Genomic DNA, 27,304 nt, shown 5'->3' on the forward strand with positions numbered 1-27,304 from the left:
ATGGCACCCTGCATTTGCATATTAAAAGGCTAGAGCAGGAGGACCAGTTTTTTCACGGGCTACGTGAGTGACCTACCTGGTCAAACCAATCCCCTGAGCCCTACGCAAATCAGGCACCACCTTCTCCAGCTTCCTCACGTAAGCAGACACATTTCCGCTGCACACAGGGTTTCCTCTCTCGGCTTTGGAGCACCCCTCCCTCTGTCTCTGTATGGGGGAGCTTCTTCCTTCATTCTTGCCTATTAAACTCTCTGCTCCTTAAAACCACTCCATGTGTGTCCATGTCATTTTATCTAATTCAACGTGAGATGAAGAACCCTGGTGTTCCTCCACTCATGGGATCTGTACCAATCTCAGTGAGTAGATTTTCTTTGTACAGCAGGCAGGAAGAACCTGCTGGGTGGTTACAAAGGCACTCCAGGCACAAGGCTGTTTAGAACAGAATTAATATAGAATTCCTGCCTCTTGGTGCAAGGAGTGTCTATCCAGCCAAGACTTGTCCAGGCTAAGGTCTCTGTAAGCACAGCCCTGGACCTCAGGACCACCAAAAGATGGGTAGAAAGTTCTAGAACTATCATTACTAAATGAACCATATCAATCTACAAAACAATACATCATTTGGGGTTCCTCGGCTCTTAGGCTGGAGATGACATTGACTTGACCTTCCCTCCCCTACGAGTGAGCTCCTCAAACGATGGGTCATTCCTAGGAGCTCCCAAGCCAAGCCCTGAGTCCATTGAATCAATCCAGTTGAAGAAGCATCTTACTGTCCAGCAGACCCTCTCTCCCTCTCACCAAGTTTAGCCAGAGTGAGACTCTACCTCTTTCCCTTCTGTCCACCCCACCTAACCTACCCTTTAAAAAAATCCTCAAGGCTGGTAGGGGCAGCACAGATCCTACTGAATATTTAGGAGCCAGAAAGGGGTCTGGGCCAGCATTCCTGGCATCTTAATGTCAGATCTTCCTTTAGTTAAAAAGCCCTTCAGTTAACCCCAAAGCTTGAGTGTGCGTCTCAGGATCTCCTTCCTGTTCTTTCCTCCTCCGCTTTCCCTCTCCTCACTCTCTCTCGACACTGAGTTTCCTATGTATTTCTAATGCAGAGGAAGTAGCTCTCTTTGGGGTTTTGTTGTTGTTCTCCTTTTCATTTTTAGTTTTTAATTTTTGTGGGTACATAGTGCGTATATATATTTATGGATTATGTGAATGTTTTGATACAGCTATGCAGTGTGAAACAAGCACACCGTGGAGAATGAGGTATCCATCCCCTCTAGCCTTTATCCTTTGAGTTACAAACCAATCGTGGCTCTCTTTTGTTTCTTTTCTTTTCTGCTAAAGCACAGTCCCAAAGACAAGGCCAAGGGGAATTCTGCCCTTAGCTGTCTATTTCTGCAATATTCACACGTACAAATTCACTCATAAATGCCCCAACCTGCATTTAAGAGGGAGGTGATTTCAGATGAACAATGATCTTTTGCAATAATTGTGACTAACGACTGGCCTCTATTCTCTTCTCTTTGTCTTCCAGGCACTATTTTCCACTGTCTTCCTCTTCCCTGGGTTGCTCAAGTTCACACAGATGTGTCCTCACCAGGACCTCACAGTCAAAGAGACTTTTCTGTCTTTCTGTGTCAGTTTGATGGGAGACCAGATTCCAACCACTAGACACGGCTGCGTCCCTGAAGGCCCGGCTGCTGCAGGCCTCCCTCGATCTGGCCAGGAATGACTCCTTTCCTCCTCTATTGCTATCAGGAGAGGTAGGAGGTGTTAGAGAGACCTCCCCTGCCCACCACACACACCTTCCAGCTTGAGGCTGCCTAAAGATCCCTCAGAAACCCCTGACCTTGTCCCTTCCCTTCCCCCTCCTCCTTGTTCTCCACGCTCTGACCAAGTGGAATTTTCCCCTTCACCACTTCAGGGTCACTTGGTAAAGATTAGTTGGGCAGAAAAGTCAGGGTTGGAGGAAGGGTGTATTTGGAAAGAGGGCTGGGCTGGAGATGAGGAAACTTGGGGTCCAGAAGCTGCTCTGCCACACTCCAGCTCACTGACCCTGGTCAAGTTGCCTCACCCACTTGGGCCTCTCTTTCCTCATTTGCCTAATAAACGTTTGAAATCCCTACACTACTCTTAAAGTGTCTACAACATTTAAAAGCAAATTGCCCCTATTAGAAATCTGGGGCCGCTCCTGCCTTTTCCACGACCTCCCTGCTAGAAGGTCCCAGAACTTTCCCTTTTGACTCCAGAGACACCAACTCTGCTGATGTCACAACTCTCCTCTGACTGCAGGTTAATTTCTGGTGGATGCAATTTCCCTGCCTCTGCTGTTTTTACTGCAGTAGAGTTGCCCTGTGGTACACAGGCAGGTTATTGTTTTATTCTTTACTTTTGAAGCACAGTCAAGAGTTTCAAAAGGGATAAATCAGGAAGGTCCCGCAGGGCTGATGTTCCGTACAAACACCCTGTAAGCCTCTGGGTGTGCCTGTCATCAGTTCTTATACAGACATCATGGGGCTACCGCCTTAGTTTGTAGTTTCTGAATAGCTGGAGGAGGGCGTATTACAGTTGAATAGGAGGGAGTTGCCAGGGAGCTGCCCATCCAATATCTTCTGTTTGTACAAGTTTTAGTTGGATACCCAGAGTCATAGAAATGATTTCTTTTCAATAATAACAGAATCTCTAAAGAGATAAGCCTCCATCCCCTGGGAGGCCAAATGAACAACAGTGTGATATGAGCTGTTTTAGGAATGCAAGTCGGTATCCCGTGATCCCCAGGGACAAAGAGAACAAGTTTAGGGTTGTTCTTGCGTGTGGAAGGAAGCTAGAGAGGTTCCACCTGTCGGAATTGTCATGCATCCTCCTTTATGGACGGACCAGCTATGAGCTACTGCCTTTCCATCAGCAGATGGTTCAAATGAACCCAGAGATTAGGTCTACAGAAAATATAGGTCGCAGCAAAGGAGAAATTCTACGTGAAAGTAGTTAGCACAGCACTCAGCATATGGTAGGGATCCTATAAATATTAATTTTTCCTCACATATAAAAATTCCAATTTGCAGGGTAATCTCAGCTTGTAAAGAAGTGAAAGTTAGAGTGGTAGATTTGTCTCCAGAGATGGTGACAGCACTCTCTGCCATCACACATGTTCTTTTGTATTGTGGCTTTGCTGTCTCTCCTTAAGAAGAGTCTATTTCCCCTTCCCTTGAATTCAGGCAGGTCCTGCAACCTTTTTGACCAATAGAAGTTGGCAGAAGCAGGAGCACACACGGGCGGGCTTGTGAGTGAAGCCTTCTTGGCCTCCCAGCCAAGCCCAGGCACCAGCTGAATGCAGCCGAGTGAATTATCCCAGCCAACCTGCGTGAAGCAGAAGAAACATCATCCCAAATTCTAGCCCCAGAAAATCAAGAACAAATAAAACCATGGTTGTTTGAATCTGCTACATTTTGAGATTGATTTTTTGTTTTGTTTTGTTTTTCAGATGGAGTTTCGCTCTTGTTACCTGGGCTGGAGTGCAATGGCGTGATCTTGGCTCACCACAACCTCTGCCCCCCCGGGTTCAAGTGATTCTCCTGCCTCAGCCTGAGTAGCTGGGATTACAGGCAGGCGCCACTGCACCTGGCTAATTTTGTATTTTTTAGTAGCAATGGGGTTTCTGCATGTTGGTCAGGCTGGTCTCGAACTCCCCACCCCAAGTGATCTGCCCGCCTCGGCCTCCCAAAGTGCTGGGATTACAGGCGTGAGCCACCACGCCCAGCCTGGAGGTTGTTTTTTATGTGGCAACAGATAAAGCAAGTTTTCAGAATAAATCTGTTAAATTGACTTTAGCCTAAAACTGCCTCCTTACCTATTGGTGCAAAAGTTGGTGCAAAAGTAATTGCAGTTTTTGCCATTAAAAGTAATGTCACCAGCCAATATTTTAAGTTTGGCCTAAGGTTTCTCTGTACATCGTGAGCTATAACCTAAATGGAAGTGCAAACAGACTGTAACCTACTCTTGTGCCAATCACTGAGTTTTGCCCAATCTATGGTGGTCAACTCTTTGGACTGTGTTCAAATAAGGCAAATGCTGAGCTGTAACCAATCTGGCCAGTTCTGTACCTCACTTCCATCTTCTGTACATCACTTTCCTTTGTTCTGTCTATAAATCATCTTCCACCACCTAGCTGTGCTGGACTCTCTGAGCCTACTCTGGCTCTGGAGGCTACCTGATTTATGAATCATTCTTTGCTCAATTAAACTCTGTTAAATTTAGGCCGGGCGCTGTAGCTCGTGCCTGTAACCGCCGCACTTTGGGAGGCTGAGGTGGGAGGATCACTTGAGGCCAGGAGATCGAGACCAGCCTCGCCCACGTGGTGAAACCCAGTCTGTACTAAAAAGACAAAGTATTAGCCAGAGGTGGTGGTGCATGCTTGTAATCCCAGCTAATTGGGAGGCTGGGCCAGGAGAATCCTCGAACTTGGGAGGCAGAGGTTGCGGTGAGCCGAGATCACACCACTGCACTCCAGCCTGGGTGACAAGAGCAAAACTCCATCTCAAAAATAAAATAAAATAAAATAAACTCTGTTAAATTTAATTTGGCTAAGGATTTTATTTTAACAATTCAAGAAAGAGTTTCAAAATTTAACCTTTCCATAAGATTTTTCTTTTTCTTTCTATCCTCCCCAAATTTTTCATATAATCCGTGTACTTTCAAAAATAAGTTCTCCAGAAACATTGCCAAGGGTTCTGTGGATTCATTCACTTAGCAAGGTTTTGAGAAACATTTTTAACACAAACATTTAAATGTGCATGTAATTTCCATCCTCAGAGAGCTTAATACTAACCATGTAGACTAGACACATATACATCGAATGCTAATAATCTACAAGGCAGTATATGACTATAGCTAAGTGATCTCTAAACCCTGTTTTGACCCTGAAATTCCATTAGGCCATGGAACTAAGTATACAAACATTGAGTTCAGGGAAGACTCTTTGGGGTTCATCAGTATCAGAAAAACAGAAAATTAAACACACACGAGCTTACCTAAACAGGGCTTTGTTTTTCCAGCATGAGTTCTTGCGTGGGCAGTCAAGGGCAGTCAGAGGTATGGGCTCCTTCTAGCTTTCTCCTATTCTTGGTATAAGGCCTTCCTCACAGCCTCACTGGATAGGTGCTCCACCTCTAGGCAACATGTTACATTTCCAGGTAGTAAGAACGAATAGGAAAGGACAAAAATCAAAAGGAAATGCAAGCTAACGGTCCCTTTTAATTAGGAAAGCAATAGCTTTTCTATAAGCTTCACCTTTTAAACTTCTACTTAAATCTTCTTGGCCAGAACTATTTTGTAAGTCTATCCTGAGCTGCAAGAGGTCCTGGACACATTCTGAGATACACTGGCCTTCTGTCACCAGGAAAAAGGGAGAGTGTATATTGGGTGTTTGAAGTAAGGAAGTAGAGAATGCCTTCGGGATAGGCAGTGAGCAGTGGCCCCCACAGTCAGAAGGTTGGCAGGATACAAAGATCTTTAGATAAGATGAAATACGGGGGCATGCGCCAGAAGGAGGGAAGGTGGACCCCTTTCTCCTGGATGCATATGCATGGAAGGAGGGTAGAGAGAGTGCACACACACGATCACCCCCACCCCACCCAAACTCACACCACACCAGACACATACATACACACACACAATCACCATTTAATGTTGGACTGATATTTGAGGCTACCTCTGACTTACCTTGCCCAAGATTTCTTTTCTCCGACTCTATTGAATGTGCCTTTTTGCTCTACAGAGGCTAGAGAGCTAAAAACACTACTTCCCAGATATCCTTATAGCCAAGATTCTGGTTGCAATTGATCTCATGCCAATTAGAAACACTGTTTAAGACTTGCATTCAGAACTGAGTTCAGTGGGTGGAGGGCAGCATTCTGGAGGCAGCAATGACATCTTGGGGGCCCCACTCGACAGGCAGTTTCCTTAACAGCCTACTTCTGTGGCGTCATAGTTGGTCCTGGAGGCTCACCTAGGATCATTCTTCAGCTCCTCAATGATTCTGTTATCAATTTTGTAACAGAGGTAAATCCCTATCTAAACTGGCAAGCATGACTCTGTTCTCTGTAACTGAAGCATATTTGGTCGCAGCATCACACAGACCTTTCTCCATTGCAGCCTCTCCCATTTTCTCTCTGCTGGACATTAGTTAGACAAGTGACTTCACATCTCCAACTCTCACCTTCTTTCCTCTGACCTGGAGCTCTTGTATGGATCGGGCATGAAACTGCCTGTACAGTGTCTGACTCAGATGAGTGTTCAACAAATACTAGCTTCAACAAACTTACTCAGAATAGTCACAGAAAATGCCAGTGAAGGAGTTGCTGCATGGGGCAATGGTGGTAGAGAGGCACCCCAGCATGAGAGATGGCCTCGTGCTCTGCAGGGGCACACAGGAGCCCAGACTTGAAGCTCTTGTTAATAAAGTCTGTCTCCTCCACCAACCTATAAGCCACCAACCTGTCATTTCAAACCTGTTTGAATTTCCTTTTGCTTCTAGCATAAAATCTGACACAGGGGAGCCTGAATGTCCTGGACAGAGACCTCCAAATGCAGAGAATCATCTTGGAACCAGTAGCTGGATAGCTGCCCCCTAGGAAACACCAGCCACGGGCCCCATCCTCTGCTCAATGCAGCCTGTCATGGTGAACAGGATAGACACCACCATTGCCTTTGTAGACGGTCCTGTTTAACACGGGAAGCAAATGCCTGGAATGTTCCCCCATGTGAGCACCCATAGTTTGAAGGAAGACAGTGCAGTGCCCATGTGGCCCCAGGCCACCAGCCCAGAGAGGGTTTTCCTGACTACATCAAGCTTAGGCTAAAGCCTGATCAAAGAAACAAATCTGTATCAGCTGCCTCTGTTCCCTGTGAGGTCATGTTGCCAAGACACTTTGGGGCCAAATGTAGCTTTGCAGTGAGAAAAAAGTAGGGAAATGCTGCTGAAGGCTGCAGGAGCTGTGACAGCCTGTGGAGGAGGCTGTGGGAAGAGTAGACTGTGCTGGAGGCCAGGCTGGCAGCCATGTGCCAGTGCAGGGGAAGTGCAGGGCTGGAGGAGGCAGCCAGGCTGGGGAGGGCACCGCACTCTGGCTGGGGGTTACAGGCCTTGGGCCTGGACCACCTCAATGGGAATGGAAAAGTAGGTGAGATAAACATGTTTTGGAGAGCATCTATGGATCTTGCTAGGTGTATCCTTGCTTCCTTCTCCTGGGGGATCTTGGAAGGCAAAATGAAGATGAACATCATCACATAGTTCACCCAGCTTCTCATCTGTGGATTTGCACAGCATCCTGTGTGTGCCGTCAACAGCTCTGATCCCACTATCCTCTGGTTGTTTCCCTGTCTTAGTCCTGGTCACAATGAGACGCCCCAGTGGAGAAAGGATGTTTCCATCTCTGTACCACAGAGCCCACAGAACCAGTGGCCAGTAGGCAGCAGTCAGCAGAAGCAGCAACAGCAGGTGGCATTCAGGCTGTGCTTAAAGATTGACACCTGCGCAGATGATGAAGCACCTTCTTCAGTGAATGTGGAGACAACCCATCCCTCTGATTCACAGCAGAGTGTCCTATCTATCCATTATCAATGCTGCATTATTAGTATCATAATCGAGAAGCTTTATTGAGCAAAGTCCTGTTCAGCTTTGGTGAGAGCACTGGAGTGTCTTGGTGGGTCCAGGAAGAGCAGATGCCTGAGAGGAGATTCCAAGGAGATGAAGCACCAGATCCTTCCTTGGGGTACAAGACAGCTGGAGAAGGGGAAGGCCCAGCTCCAGATCCCACCACTCCTCTCATAGGGCCAGCCAGGGAACGGCAGCCCTCCATGCATCAGTTCTGTCATCTTTGAAATGGACATGATAGTGTCTACTCTGCCCAATTCATATAGCACTGTGGTGAAGCCCAGATGAGATAAGGGTACAACTGCTTCTCAGTGCCATATAATGCAATGACTCACTAGTTAAAGTATTGCCCAGCCCCAGAGCACAGACCAAATACTCCTGTGTTGAATTGTGCAGCCTGTGCAGACTGATAGAGCAGGATTAAGAAGTACCAAATAGCTTCCTAGAAAAGGCAAACTTTGAGCAGTGTGGAAGAAGGAAATGTATGAGTTTGTAGAAATGAAATGAAATCTTTTTGGTCAAGGTCAGCAGCTAGGGCCTGCCTTTCACTGTGTGTCCACCTATGTATATTAACTCACTTAATCACCTCTACAGTTCACAAGGTTGGCATGCTTATCCGCACATAAGAAGTGGGAACTTTACATAGGCATTTCCAGATGGCTGCTTGGGCTTCCTCACAGCATGGTGGCCAGGTTCCAAGAAGGGGCATTCCAAGAAAACAAACTCAGTGTGCAAAAGCTTATTAAACCTCCACTTACACCACACTTGCTGGCGTCCAATTTGTTGAAGCTGGTCACATGGCCAAGTCTGGAGACAGTGTAGGAGGGGGCTACATATGATCAAGAATGCCAGGAGCTATTGTACTTTTGGGCTACTTGAGTAAGTGTATCACAAAGAGTGGCCAAATGCAACACACTAATCAATATCAGTTGCATTAGCATTTTATTGATTAAAAAAATTGTTAAATCCCATCTTGAATTTCCGTGTGTTGTAGGAGGGACCCAGTGGGAGATAATTGAATCACGGGGGCAGGTCTTTCCCATGCTTTTCTCTTGATAGTGAATAAATCTCATGAGATCTGATGGTTTTCAAAAGGGGAGTTTCCCTGCACAAGCTCTCTTCTCTTGTCTGCCACCATGTGAGATGTGTTGTTAACATTCCACCATGATTGTGAGACCTCCCCAGCCACGTGGAACTGTGAGTCCATTAAGTCTCTTTCTTTTGTAAATTGCCCAGTCTCAGGTATGTCTTTATCAGCAGTATGAAAATGGACTAATACAACCAGGTACTCAGCATTTAGATCAAGAAACAAAGCATTACCAACACCCCAGAAGCCCCACCTAGACCCTTTTTCAGGCACTCCCTACTTCTCCCCAACCCAGAAGACCCACTGCCCTGACTGCTAATAACATTCATTAATTTTTAAAGATATTTTAAAACTTTGTAGTGCTGGAATGAATGGCTTCTATTGATGGTTTCTTTTGGCCAACATTATGTTTGTGAGTTTCTCCATACTACTGTGTATAATGTTCATTTTCATTGCTGTGTGATAATCAATTGCATGATGCTAACATATTTCATTTATCTACTCTTCTATTCATGGGCTTTTGTCAAGCTTCCAATTTAGGACTATTACAAATAGTGTCACAATGAACATTCCTCTTGGTGAACATATCCATGTATTACTGTTGGTATACACCCAGGAGCAGAATTGCTGAATCATAAGGCACACATGTGTTTTTGGTGGATACAGCCAAACAATTTTCCAAAGTGATTGTGTGAGTTTATCCTTCTGTTAGTAGTGTATGAACGTTTTTGTAGCTCCAAACCCCTTCCACTCTTTTCATTGTAGCCATTTTGATGGGTATGTAGGAGCACTGCATTTTGGTTTTAACGAGAATTTCCAAAATAACTAATGAAATTGAGCATCTTTATATAAGTTTATTGGACATTTGGATTTCCTCTTTTGCTTAATGACTTTTCAAATATTTTGCCCATTTTGAAATCTGATTATTTTGTCTTTATTTTGTATGGATTCTGTATATATTCTGGATGAAATTTTTGTTGTGCCTGTGTGATTCATTGTACTCCATGGAAAGTTGGTTAGGGCAGTGGCTGATACAGACCAAGTAGCTGAAAGCGGGAAATAGAAGAGGAACAACTGAAAGTATCTGATACACCTGGCTACTGCCATCTCTCACCTGGGTGATTTCAAGGGCTTCCCAATGCCCAATCCAGCACCTAATCTTAATAGACACCCAAAGTATTTGCTGAGTGATCTTACTGTTTCTTCCTTTAAAAATCTTGCTAATGATTTTATTTTCTACAAAGGTAACCTTTCTTCTCTAATGTCATCTATCACTTGAGACAGTAGAAAGATAATTAGACCATGGTTTGATATGGGGATGGAGTAAAAAGATGGGATTTGAATCCTGTTCTGCTTCTCACTTGTTTGGTGACCTTGGATATCTCTGAAACATGATAATCTCATCCATAAAATAGGGATCATAATAGTCCTATCAAATAAGGTATTGTGAGTATTAAATGAGTAACTCTACGCTGGGCCACTTAATAGAATATCAGGTACAAGGAAGCCCTCAGTGAAGGTTAGCTGTCATCATCATCATCATCCTTGTCATCGTTGCCATTGTTGTTATCTTATGATTATTAGGTCCCTGCTTTGCTAATCTTCAATTATGTAGCATGGCTTCTTCATCTAGATAACAGAAGTAAGAATGATCTCTTCCTAGGATGCTTGGAAGAGTGGGATGAAACAAATTTGTGAAAAAGCTTGATCAACATTGGTCCCATCTACAAAGACTGGGTCACTATTACTCTGATGGTCCTCATAAGTCTCAGGCTCTCTGACATTTAAAACAGATTTTGTAAATGGAGAGAAGTCAAGAGTGATTTAGATAGAGGAGGGGATGGCGAGTCCTCTAAATAGAGATAGAGACTTACAAATATGTATCCCCAGAGCATTGCTTCACTAGATCCCCAGGACAACTCTCCATGGGAGATTTATTAACCCCTTGCGCAAATGAGGAGAAGAAAGCTCAAAGAGATCAAGGAACACACCCAAGATCACAGGACTAGTAAATCACAGATTCCAGGTCTGTGTGTGTCCCAGCCCCCACTCCTTCCCCAGCCTAGCTCTCCACTTTCAACCTGAGGAATGCTCTAAATCTCTAGATTCATACAGTAACTTTTGCACAGTTTAAAAACCAGAAATTAATTCCGCGCCCATGGGAATGCTCTCAGAGCGGAGATAATTCTGCAACATATCCTTGTGTATATTTTCAGTGCATTCCGATTTCCACCTGGTTTGGAGCTATAAGTCAATCTTTTAGCCACTAAGCTAAATTCCCAGGGTGCTCTTAAGATACAGAAATTCCAGCAGTAAATAGCAAAGCTGTTAGACAAGATTAAACTTGCCAAAGTGATTTGAGCCGCACTGAGAAAAATGGACCCCCTTGAAATGATATGCTATCAGCCAACAGTAACATAACCCTGGAAACAAACCTTTTAGTTTATAGTTCAACAAGCAGCACACATGGTTAGGAAGGGGACTTGGCTGAAGTCTAGCATCCACAGAGGGTGCAGAGGGTGTGGAAAATGTGAGCTGTACGTCATTTACGTTTCTCTCTTTTCCTGATTAAATGATCATGTGGGGAATTCCTTGATTTTGACATTTGAAATCTACAGAGCCTGTCTGGGAGGTGAGTAATGATAGTATAACTAAAGATTGTGATCAGAGAGGGGGTCAGAGTGTGATAAAGGGGGAATGATATGGAGACAGATGAAGGATGCAGGTGGGGGAAGATCGCAGGCACTGGGAGGCAGTTCCATCTCCATTTCACTCCATTGCTCTTACAACAACTTAAAAATGGAAAACAAATGCTATGGAGACTTCATTTTTCTAAGAAATTGATTCAGTTAAAAAAAAAAAAAAAAAAACCCAAGGTGTGCTTACCCAGGTCAGTATTTTCCCTGTTGAGACCGAAGCAACTGAGGGTTGTACAACACACTCAACTGCTTCTTGAGGCCACTGTAGTTTCCATGGGCAAAAGCAAACAGTCCTGAGCAAATCCCACATGACCTGTTCCATTCTTGACTCTTCTATTTACCTTTGTTTTTGAAGAAGCCCAGACACTAAGGCGACATTCTCATAAGTATGTCACTTTAGCTGAGGAGGAATAAACTACAGTGCTACAGCCAGGTGCCTGATTCAATCACAAAATTATTCAGACACCTGGGGCAATGCCCAGCTGGCAGGGCTACCTGTTTGTTTTTCTTTTCAGCTTGTATTTTGTATTGTTGCCAGCCTTGTGTTTTAGAAGCATTGAGGGCACTTAGCATTTATTTAGTCTTGGTTCCCACAGTCTTCCACCAGAAGCCCACCCCACGTGTAGGCGCGGGCGTTCAGGCGGGCTGCTGCTTGCTGGGAACCACGTTTCTCAGCCTGACTTGTTCTCTCTCTTCCTCTCCTAGAGGTTCAAAAGTCCATTTCCAGTATTTCCCATAGAAAAGTGCTCCTAATATCTGAAAGTATGCTATTTTAGGATGCAAGTAGATCTTTGTCCTTCCTGCTTGGTGGAGATGAATTGGGGCACTGTTCCTGAGCCAGTGGCCTCTGTGAACACTGGAACACTGCCTGGGTGTCCACCCTCATGTGGAGAAGCCATGGGGACAGCTGCAGAAGAGAGTACCCACCTGGGCAGGTGAGGTGACCAACGCTGGACAACATGCTTCCCCGTCCACTTGACTTCTTTGCATCTTGCACTGAGACACAGCCCTCCAAGGGAAGCAGCAGCAGTGAACTGCTTTGTGGCACGATGGCCTTCCATGGAGTCTGAGGAATTCTTCTGGAAGATAAGGGGCTGGAATTCCAATTCCCATTGGCACTACCCCATGCAGGTCTAATACCACTCATTGGGCGATAGTTCTTTGTATTTCAGTCTGACAATACCGTATACAATAGGCTGCTCGGGCTGCCATTCATCCGCCCTTGAAGGGGGAAATTCCTTGAGGTGCTTCAAAGGGAGTTTACACTGATAAATGAGCATTTCAGGAGGTGTGGGAAGAACGCCTGGTCCACGGGCGCCATTGTCAGCATTAGGTGAGTAAGGAGAGCGAAGGTGACATCTGCGGCAAAGTGTCCCAGCAACACACGGCAGGCAGGGACTGTTTTCCTCACCTGCCTTGGCATTGGCTGCAAAACTGAGGGACCCTAAACAGGTACAATTCCTGAGACTGTAAAGAGGGTCAGTGACCCGGTGACTGCCCTTACCCCTCCCACCCCGAGTCCAGGAAGACTGTGTCTCTCCAAATGCCCAGGTCAGCGTCTCCTCCTATTAAAGGGTCTGGAGGATCCTGGGAGGGCAGGATGGGGGGTGTGGTCTTATCAGCCCAGGAGCCTGGGCGCAGCTTTGAGGTCAACTTGTTGTGAGTCCTTGAGCCAGTCACATAACACCCTGGGCTGTAGGTTTGTCATCAGAAGAAGTGTGATGTCTTAGGGCCTTGCTGGTGTGACATTCTAGGATCCTAGGCGTTTGCTGTGTGTCAAATGCATGCATCACAACAGGACAAATGTAGGACCAACCCTTCTGCAAGGAGGCACTTAACACTCCATTTCAGGTGAGCTCTAATGGGAATTTCATTCCTAAAACCTTAGAAGCAAACATGTCTGTATTTCTGTTTGTTAAGTGCATTCTAAACCAATGGGCTGGCCAATGGGCATAAGAAGGCCATGATATCTCCCAACATTCTAGACACAAGAGAAGGTTTTGGAACCAAGTGGGCAGCTGGACCTTAGAGCCAGTGGCCCTTTGGAAGGATGCCAGCCTTCCTAGTTCCAAGGAAACCCATGTAACAGACTGCTGTTTGCAGGTACACATGTTAGAGATGAACACAGTGATCAGCCTAGGACTTTGGGTGTCTGGATCTCAAACCAGATTCTTGCTTGCCGAGTGTTTATCAGAGCGTGTCAATAACAATTTGAAATGAATGATTTTCTCCCACTGTCACATTCAATATTTACCTTTGGAGAAAAGCAGGGTCAGTTCTCTCCAAAAGGAAGCTTAGTTAGTACAATTGGGTATTTTACGGAAAGACGTCCTTAAACTGCACCCCTTAGAAAATGGTAAGGGACTTTAATAGGGAAATGCCCCCTTACCCAGTGTGGCAAGAAAGCACTTGCCACAATCATTTCAGTCATCAGTTCTAAGTGACTTCAGCATTTCCTCATGGCAAGAACAGCGGGCTTGTTGCACAACTGCACTTTTCCTCACCTCTCTTTGGGTTCCTGTTGATCTTTTTTTTTTTATTTTGTATTTTGGAGACGAGACAGTCTGTTCCAAGTTCTGAGTTGGGGACGGTAGCAATTCTCCATGACCAAAACACTCTGCAGCTGCGTCCTTTGGAGCAGGGAACACGAGCTGCTTTGTTGACCCCTCTTCACCCCAGAGGCGTGTCTTCTAGGTTCAGTCCAGGATGCAGCCTGCCAGTCATTGGTCAGGTCACAAATATGTGCAGCACACAGCAAGGTCCTCCCTGTGACCGGCCGGTGTGGCTGTGTGCTGTCTGTCACCCCAGCGCCCTGGACCTCAGTCTGCAGAGAAGCAGCTGTGACAAGCACAGAAAGGCAGGCACTGGTGCCTCCTGTCGAAGCCCCCAATGCACCAGCAGCCCTCGTGTTAATTTAAGAAGTTGACTGAACAATCTGGCACAGTCGCTGGAAACTGAAGAAGGTGGGAAGAGGCTAAGCAAAACCCTTGCTTAATTAAAAGCATATCTGCAAAAGGTCAGGCCTGGCAGGAGGATGACAAAGGCAGTCAGAATTTTAAAATCAAGTCATTCTCTCTTGCGAGATTTCTTCCAGACCCTGATGGATTAGGGATGCTGGGTTTTCTCTTCCAACAGAGCCTGCACAGCTGAGTCGGGGTGAGCCAAGTGTTAGTTCCTTCGCTGTTTTCAGAGAAGTAGGACTTCTTCCCCTAAGGTGACCCCACTCCAACCCCAGGGCAAGAAGGAGGTGACTCTTAGTAAGTGCCAGCCCTCGTTCCCTCTGGAAACCTGGGGTAGATGTGGAAAGCACGTGGTGAGCTCTGTGGGGGCCATGCGACTTTAGGATGCTGTGCCTTGGTTCAAGTGGCTTCTTTAAGAAATCACCAAAACTAGATTCCTGTTGCAGCTAACGGAATGGGGAAAGTGTGGGCTCAGCAAAGTGAATTCTTTGTACTGACTTGATAACCACCTTCACCTTTTTGAGGCCGGGCATGGTGCCCCACACCTATAATCCCAGCACTTTGGGAGGCCGAGGTGGGTGGATCACCTGAGGTCGGGAGTTTGAGACCAGCCTGTCCAACATGGTGAAACCCCATCTCTACTAAAAAAATACAAAAATTAGCTGGGTGTGGTGACACACATCTGTAATCCCAGCTACTCGGGAGGCTGAGGCAGGAGAATCGCTTGAACCCTGGAGGCGGAAGTTGCAGTGAGCTGAGATCGCACCACTGCACTCCAGCCTGGGTGACAGAGCGAGACTCCGTCTCAACAACAACAACAACAACAACAAATCACCAAGACTGGATTCCTGTTGCAGCTGATGGAATTAGGAAAGTGGGGGCTCAGAAAAGTGATTTTTTAGTACTGACTTGATAGCCAGCTTCACCTTTTTGAGAAAAGAACTCTAATTCCAGAAGACCTAACCAGCGCCAATGGGGAAATGGCAAGAGGGTAGATCCACAATAAGCAGAGCTTTCCCGCAGCCAGCTTTCCCGTATTCAGATAGGAAGCAGCAGGCAGCGTGTCAGCCTCTTCCTCCCCTGACATGCTGGGAGAGGGCATAGAAGCCCATCTCCTGAGGACATTGAAGAGGGGTCCTAACATGCGGGCAGGGGAAGGGGACTAGGTTAACATCTGCCTATGAGTTCAAATTCTTTGATTCTAGATTATCACACAACAGTCTTCAGAAAATGTCTATTCCTCAGAAGTTAGAAAACAGTTGTTTTGTACAAAATATACAATTGTATATTTTGTGTATTGTATATTTGTATTTTGTTACTTATTTGTGACATGTATTTATGAATGAGAATCCTTTTGTTAAAGCAAAAGCATTTGAACACTCTCTGCTGGTCTGAGAACTTCATATTTCTTCAGTAAATCATTATAATCTGAGCACACGGACAGCATCCTTGCTTCTGGCGCCAAGAAGTACAATCAACTGGTGGAGAGTGTTTCTTAAATGAAAGTGGTGTTTCCAGTTGGCAAAACAGATTATTTTTGCTATTAAAGAAATTGATTTCTTAACACATGTGATTAATTATGTCTGTAAAACAGAAAATCCATCAAAGACAAAATGTTTTTCCCTTCAGAAAACACTTACAAATTCTTACAATGTCATTGACTAAATATGACATTCTATTAATGGGCACCTTGTCTCCAAAGATACATCTGGGCTCATTCTCCACATTGTCTTCCCTAGGCTTTTGGGAGATTGATGACTGATGACAAAAACAGGGCAGCACTCGGTGACTTTCTGCTGGTTCTTGAGAATCCAAATGAAAGTCCTACCCTGAACCTGCTCTGCAAAGGGGACCCACATGAGGTAAATGACAAAAGATGATTCCGTTTCCACGGTGAAAGGGATCTTGCTAGACAGCCTGTTGGCTTTACCTTCCAAACATATTCAGAGTCCCAGCCCTTTCCCCTCATTTCCTGCTAATTCCCCAGCCCAAGCAGGGCCATTGCATGCACAGCTCCAACATGTGTGCAACGGTGCCCTTAGGATTGTAGGGTGCACAGTCAGCCTGGGGTGGCCTTGTGATACCCAGTGGTATGGTTTGGCTGTGTCCCTACCCAAATCTCATCTCGAGTTGTAGTTCCTATAATCCCCATGTGTCATGGTAGGGACCTGGTGGGAGGTAACTGAATCATGGGGGTGGTAGCTGCCATGCTCTTCTCATGATAGTGAGTAAGTTCTCAAGAGATCTGATGGTTTTATAAGGAGATTTTCTCCCACTTCACTCTGCCCTTCTTGCTGACGCCATGTGAAGAAGGATGTTAGCTTCCCCTTCCACCATGATTTTAAGCTTCCTGAGGCCTCCCCGGCCCTGCAGAAATGTGAGTCAATTAAACCTCTTTCTTTTATAAATTACCCAGTCTTGGGTATTTCTTCATAGCAGCATGAGAATGGACTAATAGACCCAGCATCTTCTACCTGGAGTATATTTTGTATTTTTCGTATGTTTTATTGCTTATTTGTCACATCCATTTCGGAATGAAAATCCTTTTGTTAAAGCAAAAAAAAAATTGAACACTCTCTGCTGGTCTTAGAACTTCATTGTGGTTGCCTCCCAACCAGGCTACCTAAATCTACCTCCCTACCTTTCTGTTTATTCTAAACACAGCAGCCCGAGAGATCCTGTTAAAGCATGAATCAGATCATGGGACTCCATGGCTCCAGTTCCTCCAAGAGCTTCTCATCTCAACCAGGGAAAAACCCAAAGTCCCCCAGTGGCCTCAGCTTCTCCCTACCTCTCTGACCTCACACCCAACCCTCACCTCTGACTCACCCAGCTCAGGTGTGCTGGCTTTCTCTCTATTTCTAGAGCCTTGCCAGATGTAGCTGGTCCCTCTGTGGGGAATTCTCTCCCCAGTGAGCATGTTGATGGTGGGCTGTCTTGCCTTAAGTCTTCAATGCAATGTCACCTTCTCAGAGGAACTTTTTCCAACCACTGTTGTTAAAATTTCAGCTGCCCCTTTACATTCCACATCCCTCTCCCCTGCTTTAGGTTTCCCATAACACTTACTACTGTTGACATACCACACACCTGACCTATCTGGCACTTTCTTCTCTGCCTCCCTCCCAAGAAAGTGACATTTCTGACGGCAGGAGTTATTGTCTGTTTTGTTCGGTAGCTCCACTGCCTAGCACTGTGCATTGCACATAGCAGGTCCTCAATGAATATTTTTAAATGAATAAATGGATAGACGAATGGATGAATTTATGGACAGATGGGGATGGATAATGGATAGATAAATGGTTGAATGGATGGATGGATGGATAGATGGATGGATAAATGGATGGATGGGTGGATGGGTGGATAAATGGATGGGTGGATGGATGGGCAGATACATAAATAGATGGATGAATGAGTGTGTATCATTCCTCTAACCCAGAGAAAGCACAGTTGGCTGCATAAGAAGTGCCTAAACTCGAGAGTACTGGGACCACCAGCGGAGATTCTGATTCAGTAGGTTTGGAACAGGGCCTAGGAATATCATTATAATAGGCTCCCCAGGGTTCATCATATACAGTGAAGTTTGAGTTCAAGGGATGACAGAGAGGTCCACAAAAGGTTGGCTTGAACATCTGGCTGAATGATATGTTATGTACACATTAGACACTCAGGGAACATTCTCTGGGAAGGACGGGATTTAAGGAGAGGTGACAGTGGCCTTACTTTGTTTGAAGAGCATGTCGTCTGTCATATGTCTTCCTTCAAGCTTTCACAAACTGTTTACGCTATGACCCAAATTCCACCTGGAAAATGCATCAATAGAGCATGTACTGTAGCCTCCTCCATCCTCAACAGCGGAGGTCATTCATCTCCTCACTTCTTTGCTGGGAAAGTGATGGGAACTTGCAGCAGCAGAGACTCCTCATAACACATCAGCCCACCTGTCACCTGCTGTCATAATCAAACGTCACCTTCAACCAGCACCTTGCATGCTCTGAGCTTGACGCACATTTTTGCACTGCCTTTTCAGGAGTCACTTCATCCAGTTCCCTGGCAGTTACTTTCAAGCTAGAAGACACTAGCTCCATGTTCCACAGTATTTCATGCATGCCTGTCTCCTAGCCTTGCCAATACAGTGTCATGAAGAATCTGTGCACATAAAGGTCCAGTCATCTTTCATCACCAGGGCCTGAAATGAGTGGTCATTCATTAAATGTTTGCAGGCAGGAAAGAGAAAGTAGGGGGAAGGAAGGAGGGAGGGAAAGTGTAATAGCGTGAAGCCACAGCAGTTTAGCAGAAATAAGACACAAGGCACTGGCCAGGTGCAGTGGCTCATGCCTGTAATTCCAGCATTTTGGGAGGCTGAGACAGGAGGATCACTTGAAGTCAGGAGTTTGAGACCAGCCTGAGCAACATAAAAGTATCTTTAAAAATTAAAAAATATATACAAGCATTAATTTAACAAAGATGTGAAATGATAAGCAGTAGCAGAGGATAGCGAGAAGAGTGGAGGCACAGCTGTTTAATGGATGCTGCCAGCACCCCACCAGCATCACCTAGGTACTCTCCATTCATACACATGCCCATGGCTTGTGACCTTCAAACCCCTGTGCCTGCTGCATGAAAGAGTTCAATGGCTGCAGGGCCAGGCATGGCTGACCAAGCTGGGGAGTTAATATCCCAGGGCTGCTCTCAACTATGATGGAAGGCAGCGAGTGGGTGAATACCCAGCTTCCTCTTCCCCCAGCAGAATGTAGCGGATGAGCCCGAATGCCCTCGGGGCGGGGGGGTGGTGGGGACCTGCTTACAAGAACTCCCTGCCTTGGTTTCCCACCCTCCCCCACCCCTTTCCCGACTCACTTGCCATGGCTCTCTAGGATCACCTCTAAAATACATGACTTGCACTCACATCTTGGTTTGGGGGTCTGCTTCTGGGGGAGCCCAACCTAAGCCAGTCCCCAACTGGAATAAGCTAAGTCACTTGCACAGATGTGAGACACGTTAGAAGCTGCAATCGTCTCACATTGTCTCTGAGGCCTCTGAAAATGTACAGAATTAGTAAAAACCCTGCTATTGACTAAAGAAAGCCTCAGATCTGGCATGACGGCTAACCAGTTATAAAAATAGTTGAAAGTAATTGCACGCTTCCAACGACCACCTCCGCCCCCGACAGGGTAATGCTTCAATTCCCTGCTCTGTGCAGTGATTTCCTGTATCCTTATTTTCATCTTCTGACTCCTCTGCTGCTGTAGGAAAAGTTCCCTTGTGCAGCTCAGCGCCTTTTTCTGTTCAACCAGTTCCCAAGCATCACCCACTCGGGAGAGCTGTGCAGGAGAATCAGGCTCTGTGCGTCTACACAGGGAAGTGACCCCGGCTGAAAAAAAATATTAACAACTGAAATGTACACAAAATGGGGTACATTTTGAGTGTGTGGGCATGATTAGTTATTTAATCTGAGTTTTTCTATGAGAGCTACAGACACAAATGACCAATTATATAATGACCCTATCCTGCTTCAAACTGATTTCTTGGCTTGAGGTGGGGGAGGCTGGCCCTGTGCTTGCCATTCTTCCCCTCACGGCATGTGTCCTTCATGGGGTCACCACCTCTTCCCACGTCTGTGCTCCTCTCCAGAATGGCACCTCCCGAGAGCAGACGTAGTGTCTTGCTCACCTTCGTATTCTCCACAACCCAAGCAGTGTCCAGGGTCATTCAGGAGATGCTGGCTGAGTGAAAGCAGATGGGTGAATTCATGGGCTTTTGCTCATTTTCTCTCTGTCCTTTAGGTGTCAGAAGACATGCACTTCCAGGAAATTCTTTTTCCAAGAACCTGCCTTTATAGGGATGCTTACATTTTAAAAGGATCATTCAGAGGAACATAAAAGTTTATACTTGCTTTTATTCAGTCTAAGAGTTGTCTTTTAACAGAAGAGTTTAAACATTTACTTTGCCATATTAACTGATTTGCTTGGTCTTAATTCTGTCATCTTAATTTATGATGTTTATTTATGTTTCCCTCATGCTTCCAATGTATTTCCTTCCCTACCTTTTGCCATATTGCCAGGCAGTACTTGTTCTCTTTTTTCTTGATGATTTGTGCATTTTCTGTTTACTTCACTAACAACGGTAATGCTTAAGTTTGATTTGCATATATATACATATATATATATAAATCAACATTTGTATAAACTGCATCCTTTAGCTTTCTTATGTAGGATGAGATGTTAACATGTAGCCTGTTATTGGTCTTTTACCTTTCTCACGTAGGATGAAAGCATGTAGCATGTTATATTGTTTTTTTTTTCTTTTGCTCTATCTCCCTTCCAAGCTGTTGGTAAAGTCAGTGAGAATTTAAATTGCAGATGATTATCGTTAAACTATTTTTACATTACAGATCATTTCTTTTTAGTATTATTATTATTATTTTTTGAGACGGAGCCTCGCCTTTGTTGCCCAGGCTGGAGTGCAGTGGCGCTATCTCGGCTCACTGCAACCTCCACCTCCCACTTTTAAGCGATTCTCCTGCCTCAGCCTTCTGAGTAGCTGGGATTACAGGCACGTGCCACCACACCCAGCTAATTCTTGTACTTTTAGTAGACACAGGGATTTGCCATGTTGGCCAGGCTGGTCTCGAAATCCTGACCTCAGGTGATCTGCCCGCCTTGAGGCATTGAGTTTTATAAACTTGTTATCAATGTTTACTTACTCCTTCATGTCCATTTCATGTGGTTTATTTTATACAAATCTTCCCTGTTATTACCTTCCACATTTTGATCATTGCTCAGTTCTCAGGAGATCTTTCCTGGCAACTTTCACAGTGGGGGAAGGGGCCCTTCCTGAGATCGTTGTGATTGTGGCCACAGGAAGGGACGATACTTGGCAAGATTGGATGCTGGGGCCACAGATGTCCCCTCAACACTCAGAAGCTGCGGGTCCACTGTGACTGATATATCTTGCTGCAAAGAAGTGAAATGCCTGTTTTGTTTTGTTTTGTTTTGTTTTGTTTTGTTTCAGCAGGTTGCCTGTATTTCTGGAATTTTGAAATCTTCACAGAGATGTATCTAATTGTATGCTTTTCTTCTTAAAATCCAAAATGCAAATCGTTTCACTTTTTTTCTGATTATAAAAGTAATAAATACTCAGTTTTCTGGAGGAGCCAATCTACTATTGACTACTTGATTAGAAACAAAACAAAACTTACGAAGCATCCTTCCCAGTTTATACTACTCCCTTTTCTCTCTAAAGAATGTCCTCAAATCTCTTTGAGAATGTGAATTGGTTATTTCAGAGTTATCTTGTGCTCCTGAGGCAGGCTGTCAGCATAGGGAGGTATTTGTACAGGTTGGTCCCTTCTTTAAAACCATGGATGCTGTTCAGATATCTCACAATTTCCAGTTTGCTGGGTGTTCCAGTGGAGAGATGTGTTAGTTCCTGAGCCCTCAGCTGAGGATCTTGAGAGGCTCCTGACCCCTGGAGCCAGGTTCCTTTCAGAGTTGCCACAGAGCCTGTCCTCTGATCTGCTTGGGGGATGTATCCCCAGTAGGTCATATTCTTTGTAGTATTTAATTCACATATAAACACGAACAATATCTCATATTACTGGCTAATTTTAAATTAGAAATGTTCTGTTACTTGTACCTCTTTAAGGAAGAGACCACACATTTCTACTTTTTATTCCCCTTAACACTTACACTGTTCGAAGGTAATACATCAACTGACTTGTTTGCATGGTGGAATTATGGAAAATACAAAATATAGGCATGTTTGCTAGACAGATATTTGAATGTAATATTTTATTCTTTCTTCTAGGTCGCTTGGAAAGGGTCCTGACCCACCCACCATGTCAAGCAATTATTTTTCTGGACAGCTTCCTGATGTCCCCAAGGAGAGAGAGAGCGTGACAGCCAGTGAGGGAAAGCATGCCACAGGTCCCGCCTGCTAACCTGGCAGGAGGGTGCTTGCAACACCTAATTTATCAACGCTTGTTTTCCCTGCTGGAGCCAAGTACACAAAATCACTCCGCCAACAGAGAAAGAGAAAGGGGAAGCCATTCTTCACCTTTTTCAGTAATGTATTTTTGTTTTGGTCAATTTCCCAGATAAATTATGGTCTTGTCTCATTGCTGCATTGGTGGAATTCTTGCTAGTGTTATTTAGTACATTTTAAAGCTGTGTGAAACCAAAAGGTACTTAAAAAAAAAAAAAAAAGGAAAGTTAACCAAATTGAAGGGTAAATTTTTTACATTGTTCCACTGGCTCCAGTTGGAGCTTAATCATCACGACCCTTCCTTCAGTCCACAGCGCCTGCTTCAAGATGCAGCAGAAGTCAAAATTGCAAGAGTCTGGATGTTTTGCTTTCGTGTAACTCATTAGGCATTTCCCCCTGTGCTATGATAAATGTCTCTCTCAACCAGAAATTTTATCTCACCTGTGTATGTCCCTATTTCACTCTGCGGAATCACTCTCAGGAAATACAAGCTAATGATGTCTGTGGTTCTGAAATTTCCTTGTTATTATTTGTTTAAGACATTTTTTAAAAAAACCTGTGGACAGCTTATTAAAAGGATGCTGAGCAATGAAAACATTATTAGACCATATTATTGTTTATTGTACCCAGATGTCGTGCATTTTACACATCCCAAAGGATTAGTAGTAATGTTGGATACCAAAATCTTACTTTTCCTTGCAGATATTGAGACTAAATTTTTCTCATTAAAAACAAAACATTTACACTGAACAAATGGTGCGTGTCCGGGTGAAGCATCAGGTCTCAAGAAGGCAACACTGCTCAAACGAGACTTAGGACAGAACTGGAGACCAAAACAAAGCTGAGGCTACTGTTGGAAATACTGGTCTAAAAAAAGGAAGAGTGTGGTATGCTTGTTTTTTAGTTTTATAGAATTTTCCATTTGGAAAGGAGAGAAATGCATACATCCAAGCTGAAATAAACCATTCTAGCAAACATGCCGAGGAATAATTTTCAAGAATGTTTTGTTTTTAATGAAAAGGAAAGCAAATCAAAGAAAACCTGGGTAAGTGTTAAAGAGTACTAAATTTATAGTAAGGTTCAGGCAATCTGCCCACTGCAATCAGAAAGGTTTGGGCTGTTAGTCATTTAAGACACACAATGGGAAAATAAACAAAGAAGGAGGAAGGGGGAATGGTAAACTGTAGTTTGGCAGCAAAATTAGTCCAGCTAGTTCCATTACATATTAAACCATGTCACAAAGCAAATAATTGAAATAATGAGGAGCTCATTTTTTAAAAGATATATAGAGTAGCATAACAGAATCAACAAAAATAAGACTGTTTTATATAACAATTCAATAGACAATAAATAAGCACTCCATTTGGGGAAAAGAATCACACAATAAATGATGCTGGGATGGCTTGTGAGTAATTTGGAGAAAACTGATCTAGAATGAGAGCGAGTATTCCACATTCGCCACTCTCTTGTCTTTTGGCTTTCTATCACCTTGGCCAATGGAGGAAGACAGCAAAAAACAGGAAGGAGGAAGAGTATGAAGGGAGTCATTTCTCCCCGGCACTCCATGCCAGGTTGCTCCAGAAGGCTGTGTCTCTGTCCTAAGGGCTACAGCTTGGCTTGGGCAGTCTTTCCATACAACTCTCCAGGTTCGGGAAATTGCTTACTCATCTGCCCCTGCAAGTGCAGGGATGACAATCACTTCCAGCTGAGCTGAGCCCAGCATGCTGCATCATTCTTTGTTGATGTCCCTCAACTCCGCTGGCGCTATCTTGATTATCCTTAGGCTTACCTCAGTTCCCCAGTCCTAGTGGGCCTTCTGGTTCCTCCTGGGGCACTGACTGATCCAGGTGCCCTGGGGTTCAGTCGCTAAGTTTCAGCTTCCTATGTGATGGGGTTTGGTTCTGTCCTTGTCTAAATCTCATGTTGAATTGTAATCCCCAGTGCTGGAGGTGGGGCCTGGTGAGAGGTGACTGGATCATGGGGTGGATTTCTCACGAATAGTTTAGTGCCGTTCCGTTGGTGCTATCCTCATGATAGTGAGTGAGTTCTTGCAAAATCTGGTCATTTAAAAGTGCTCCTGCTTTTGCCATGTGATGTGTGACATGCGTACTCCCGCTTCACCTTCCACCACGATTGTAAGTTTCCTGAGGCTTCCCCAGAAACTGAGCAGATGCCAGTATCATGCTTCCTGTACAGCCTGAGGATCCATGAGCCAATTAAACCTCTTTTCTCTATAAATTATCCAGTCTCAGGTATTTTTTATAGCAATGCAAGAACAGCCTAATACTGTGCAATTTCAGAATCCCAAGTTTCTCTATTTACCCAAGACCGGGGGGTGCTCCCGCGGCCTGATTCATGCTCACAGACATGCAAATGGATGGGGGGTGTGAATTAACATAATGCTCTAACTCAAGTCATTCTCACCAGGCAATTCTGCCCCCCAGGGGACATTGGCAATGGCTGGAGACATTTTTGGTCACCACAACCTGTTGGGGAGGGTGAGGGGTGCTACTGGCTTCCGGTAGGTGGAGGCCAGGGATGCTCGCAAGCATCCCCAGTGCACAAGACAGCCCCCACGATGACGTACGACCCTTCCCGAACGTCCACAGTTAGTGCTTCCCTTGTGACCTTGTGAAGCCCTGCTCAGATTGTGAGGAGGATGATGCATTCACAGAGGCCAGTCTGCAAAGCACACTCTTCTCTCAAAGTTGATAAACCAATCTGGAAAACAAAATTTCTACCATTGACCCACTGGTGAGCACCAACCAGAGGATGAGGGGTTGGGGAGTGGCCTTAAGAGGAACAGTACTTGAGAGCTGTTGGGCTCTGAATGCCCAGTTTCTCTATCTCCACCCAGGGGATGGACCTCTCATGGGAACTGGGCAGCTCCTGCGGCAGCTCAGAAGAGCCTGCTGGTGTGCCTGGGTGGGGAGTGTGTGGGACACAGCCTCTGTGCAGGCTGCAGGGAGTCAGCCCAGGTTCCAGCACTCACTGTTCCCTGAGGTTAGTTTATTTCATCGCTGTTAGATTCTGTTTCATTATTCATCACATGTGGGTACTAACAGTGGCAAATTGTGTAGCGCTATAAGGGAATTCAATGAGATAATGCATGTGAGAGGCTTACGCTAACCTCCTGTGAATGTGGTCCTACAATGAGAGGCCTAGAGTCAAACCCCTTGTAGAAAACACTAGGTTAAATAAAATTAACCTGGATTTGCTTGTTTTCCTTGTAGGGCCTCTCAGGGCATTTAAAGCATTATTGAGCATTTCAGCTCTCTAAGAAAGGGGAACAATATACAGAGGTCTGCATACTCAGGCACCCTCAATCCCTGTATTACCTTACAGAAGTGACCTTCTCCAGCACACACCGCCGGAAACACTACTGAACCTCTGAGCACGCTGGCAAATGACTCAGTTCCTGGTGTATATATACAGGTGCCTGAGCTCATTAATTTTCTATTGGTCACTGTGAGCTTCTCTTTCAGAGGGTGGCATTTTCTAGTTGCTCCAAATCAAGGTCCTCTCTTTTGGAGTCTATAGCTGTGTTGGCCAATTTTATCCACCTGACTTTCCTGTTGTTTTTCTTTGCTCAGCTTTTAATACTGGCCTGGATTTTTAGACCTGCATTGTTATTAAATAAATGTAATATCTTTTGTTTTCCAACATTTAATCTTATTAGCTTCATTCAAAAAACAAAAGGTTAAATTGGGCTACCTGCTCATCGTCTTCTGGGTCTATGTGAAAAATGAAAAAAAAAAAAAAAAACTCCCTCCATGTTATTGTCACTTCAATCCAGGAAATTGAAATCAATACAGATACAGAAGTGGCAAGGTTTGCATTATTTTTCAGAGTCCAAAACATATGTATTTAAAATGTGTTAATAAACCATAAAACATTATACAAAATATAGAAACATTTAGTTCTCAAACTTGTGTTTCAGAAACACTCCCTTGAAAAATAAGTAAATTCAAATTACAGACTACCTAAAGTAATTATTAATGAAAGAAAAGGAAAAGAACCGGATGGGTGCGGTGGCTCACACCTGTAATCCCAGCACTTTGGGAGGCTGAAGCAGGTGGATCACTTGAGGCCAAGAGTTCAAGACCAGCCTGGCCAACATAGTGAAACCCATCTCTACTAAAAAATACAAAAATTAGCTAGGCATGGTGGCACATGCTTGTAATCCCAGCTGCTGGGGAGGCTGAAGCACGAGAATCACTTGAACCTGGGAGGCAGAGGTTGTAATGAGCTGAAATCGTGCCAATGTGCTCCAGCCTGGGCAAAAGAGCAAGACTCTGTCTCAAAAAAAAGGAAAAGAACTTAAGAATGTGAAGTCTCATGCACTAATGATTCAAAGTTTGGGAAAAGTACTGAATCATCCCCACTATAATATCAGGGCAATTGGCCATTTGATTAACACATTACAAGCCAGAGGTCACTTAATTCTGTAGGTTAGAGAACTTGCAAGAAACCAAACAGGCCACGGAGCACCAGGAGAGACAAGGAAATCCATGTGTCATAGGCAGAACTGTGCCCTCCCCAAATTCATCTGCTGAAGTCTTAATCCTCAGTACCTCAGAATGTGACCATATTTGGAGACAGGTTATTTAAAGAGGCAATTAGGTTAAAATGAGGTCATTCATGTAAGTCCTAATTTACATGACCAGTCTCTTGATACGAAGAAGTGATTAGGACAGAGACTCAACAGAAAGAAGACCACATGAAGGTACATGGAGGAGATGGCTGTCTACAAGCCAAGAAGAGAGGTCTCAGAAGGAACCAAGCCTACAGACACAGTGATCTCAGACTTCCAGCCTCCAGAACCGAGAGACAGTAAATATCTGTGGTTTAAGCCACCCAGTCAATGGAACTGAGTTATGGTAGCCCTTGCAGCCTCATACACCATGGCTCTGGGTTAGACATCCTCCGGGCTCAT

General features: G+C 44.7%; 1 long non-coding RNA gene across 7 annotated transcripts in view; it reads right to left on the bottom strand.

The window, feature by feature from the left end:
* COPS8-DT (COPS8 divergent transcript) overlaps positions 1-27,304 on the bottom strand; it is a 175,051-nt gene that overhangs the window by 64,141 nt on the left and 83,606 nt on the right. For 2 of the 7 annotated variants that reach the window (NR_187935.1, NR_187940.1), the window contains exon 2: positions 5,019-5,156. The exons of the other annotated variants lie outside the window; for them this stretch is intronic. This is a non-coding gene — a long non-coding RNA (COPS8 divergent transcript). The remainder of the gene's footprint in view (positions 1-5,018; positions 5,157-27,304) is intronic. 7 annotated transcript variants of the gene reach the window in all.

This window comes from Homo sapiens, chromosome 2 (genome assembly GCF_000001405.40).
Source record: "Homo sapiens chromosome 2, GRCh38.p14 Primary Assembly".
Classification (NCBI taxonomy): Eukaryota; Metazoa; Chordata; class Mammalia; order Primates; family Hominidae; genus Homo; species Homo sapiens.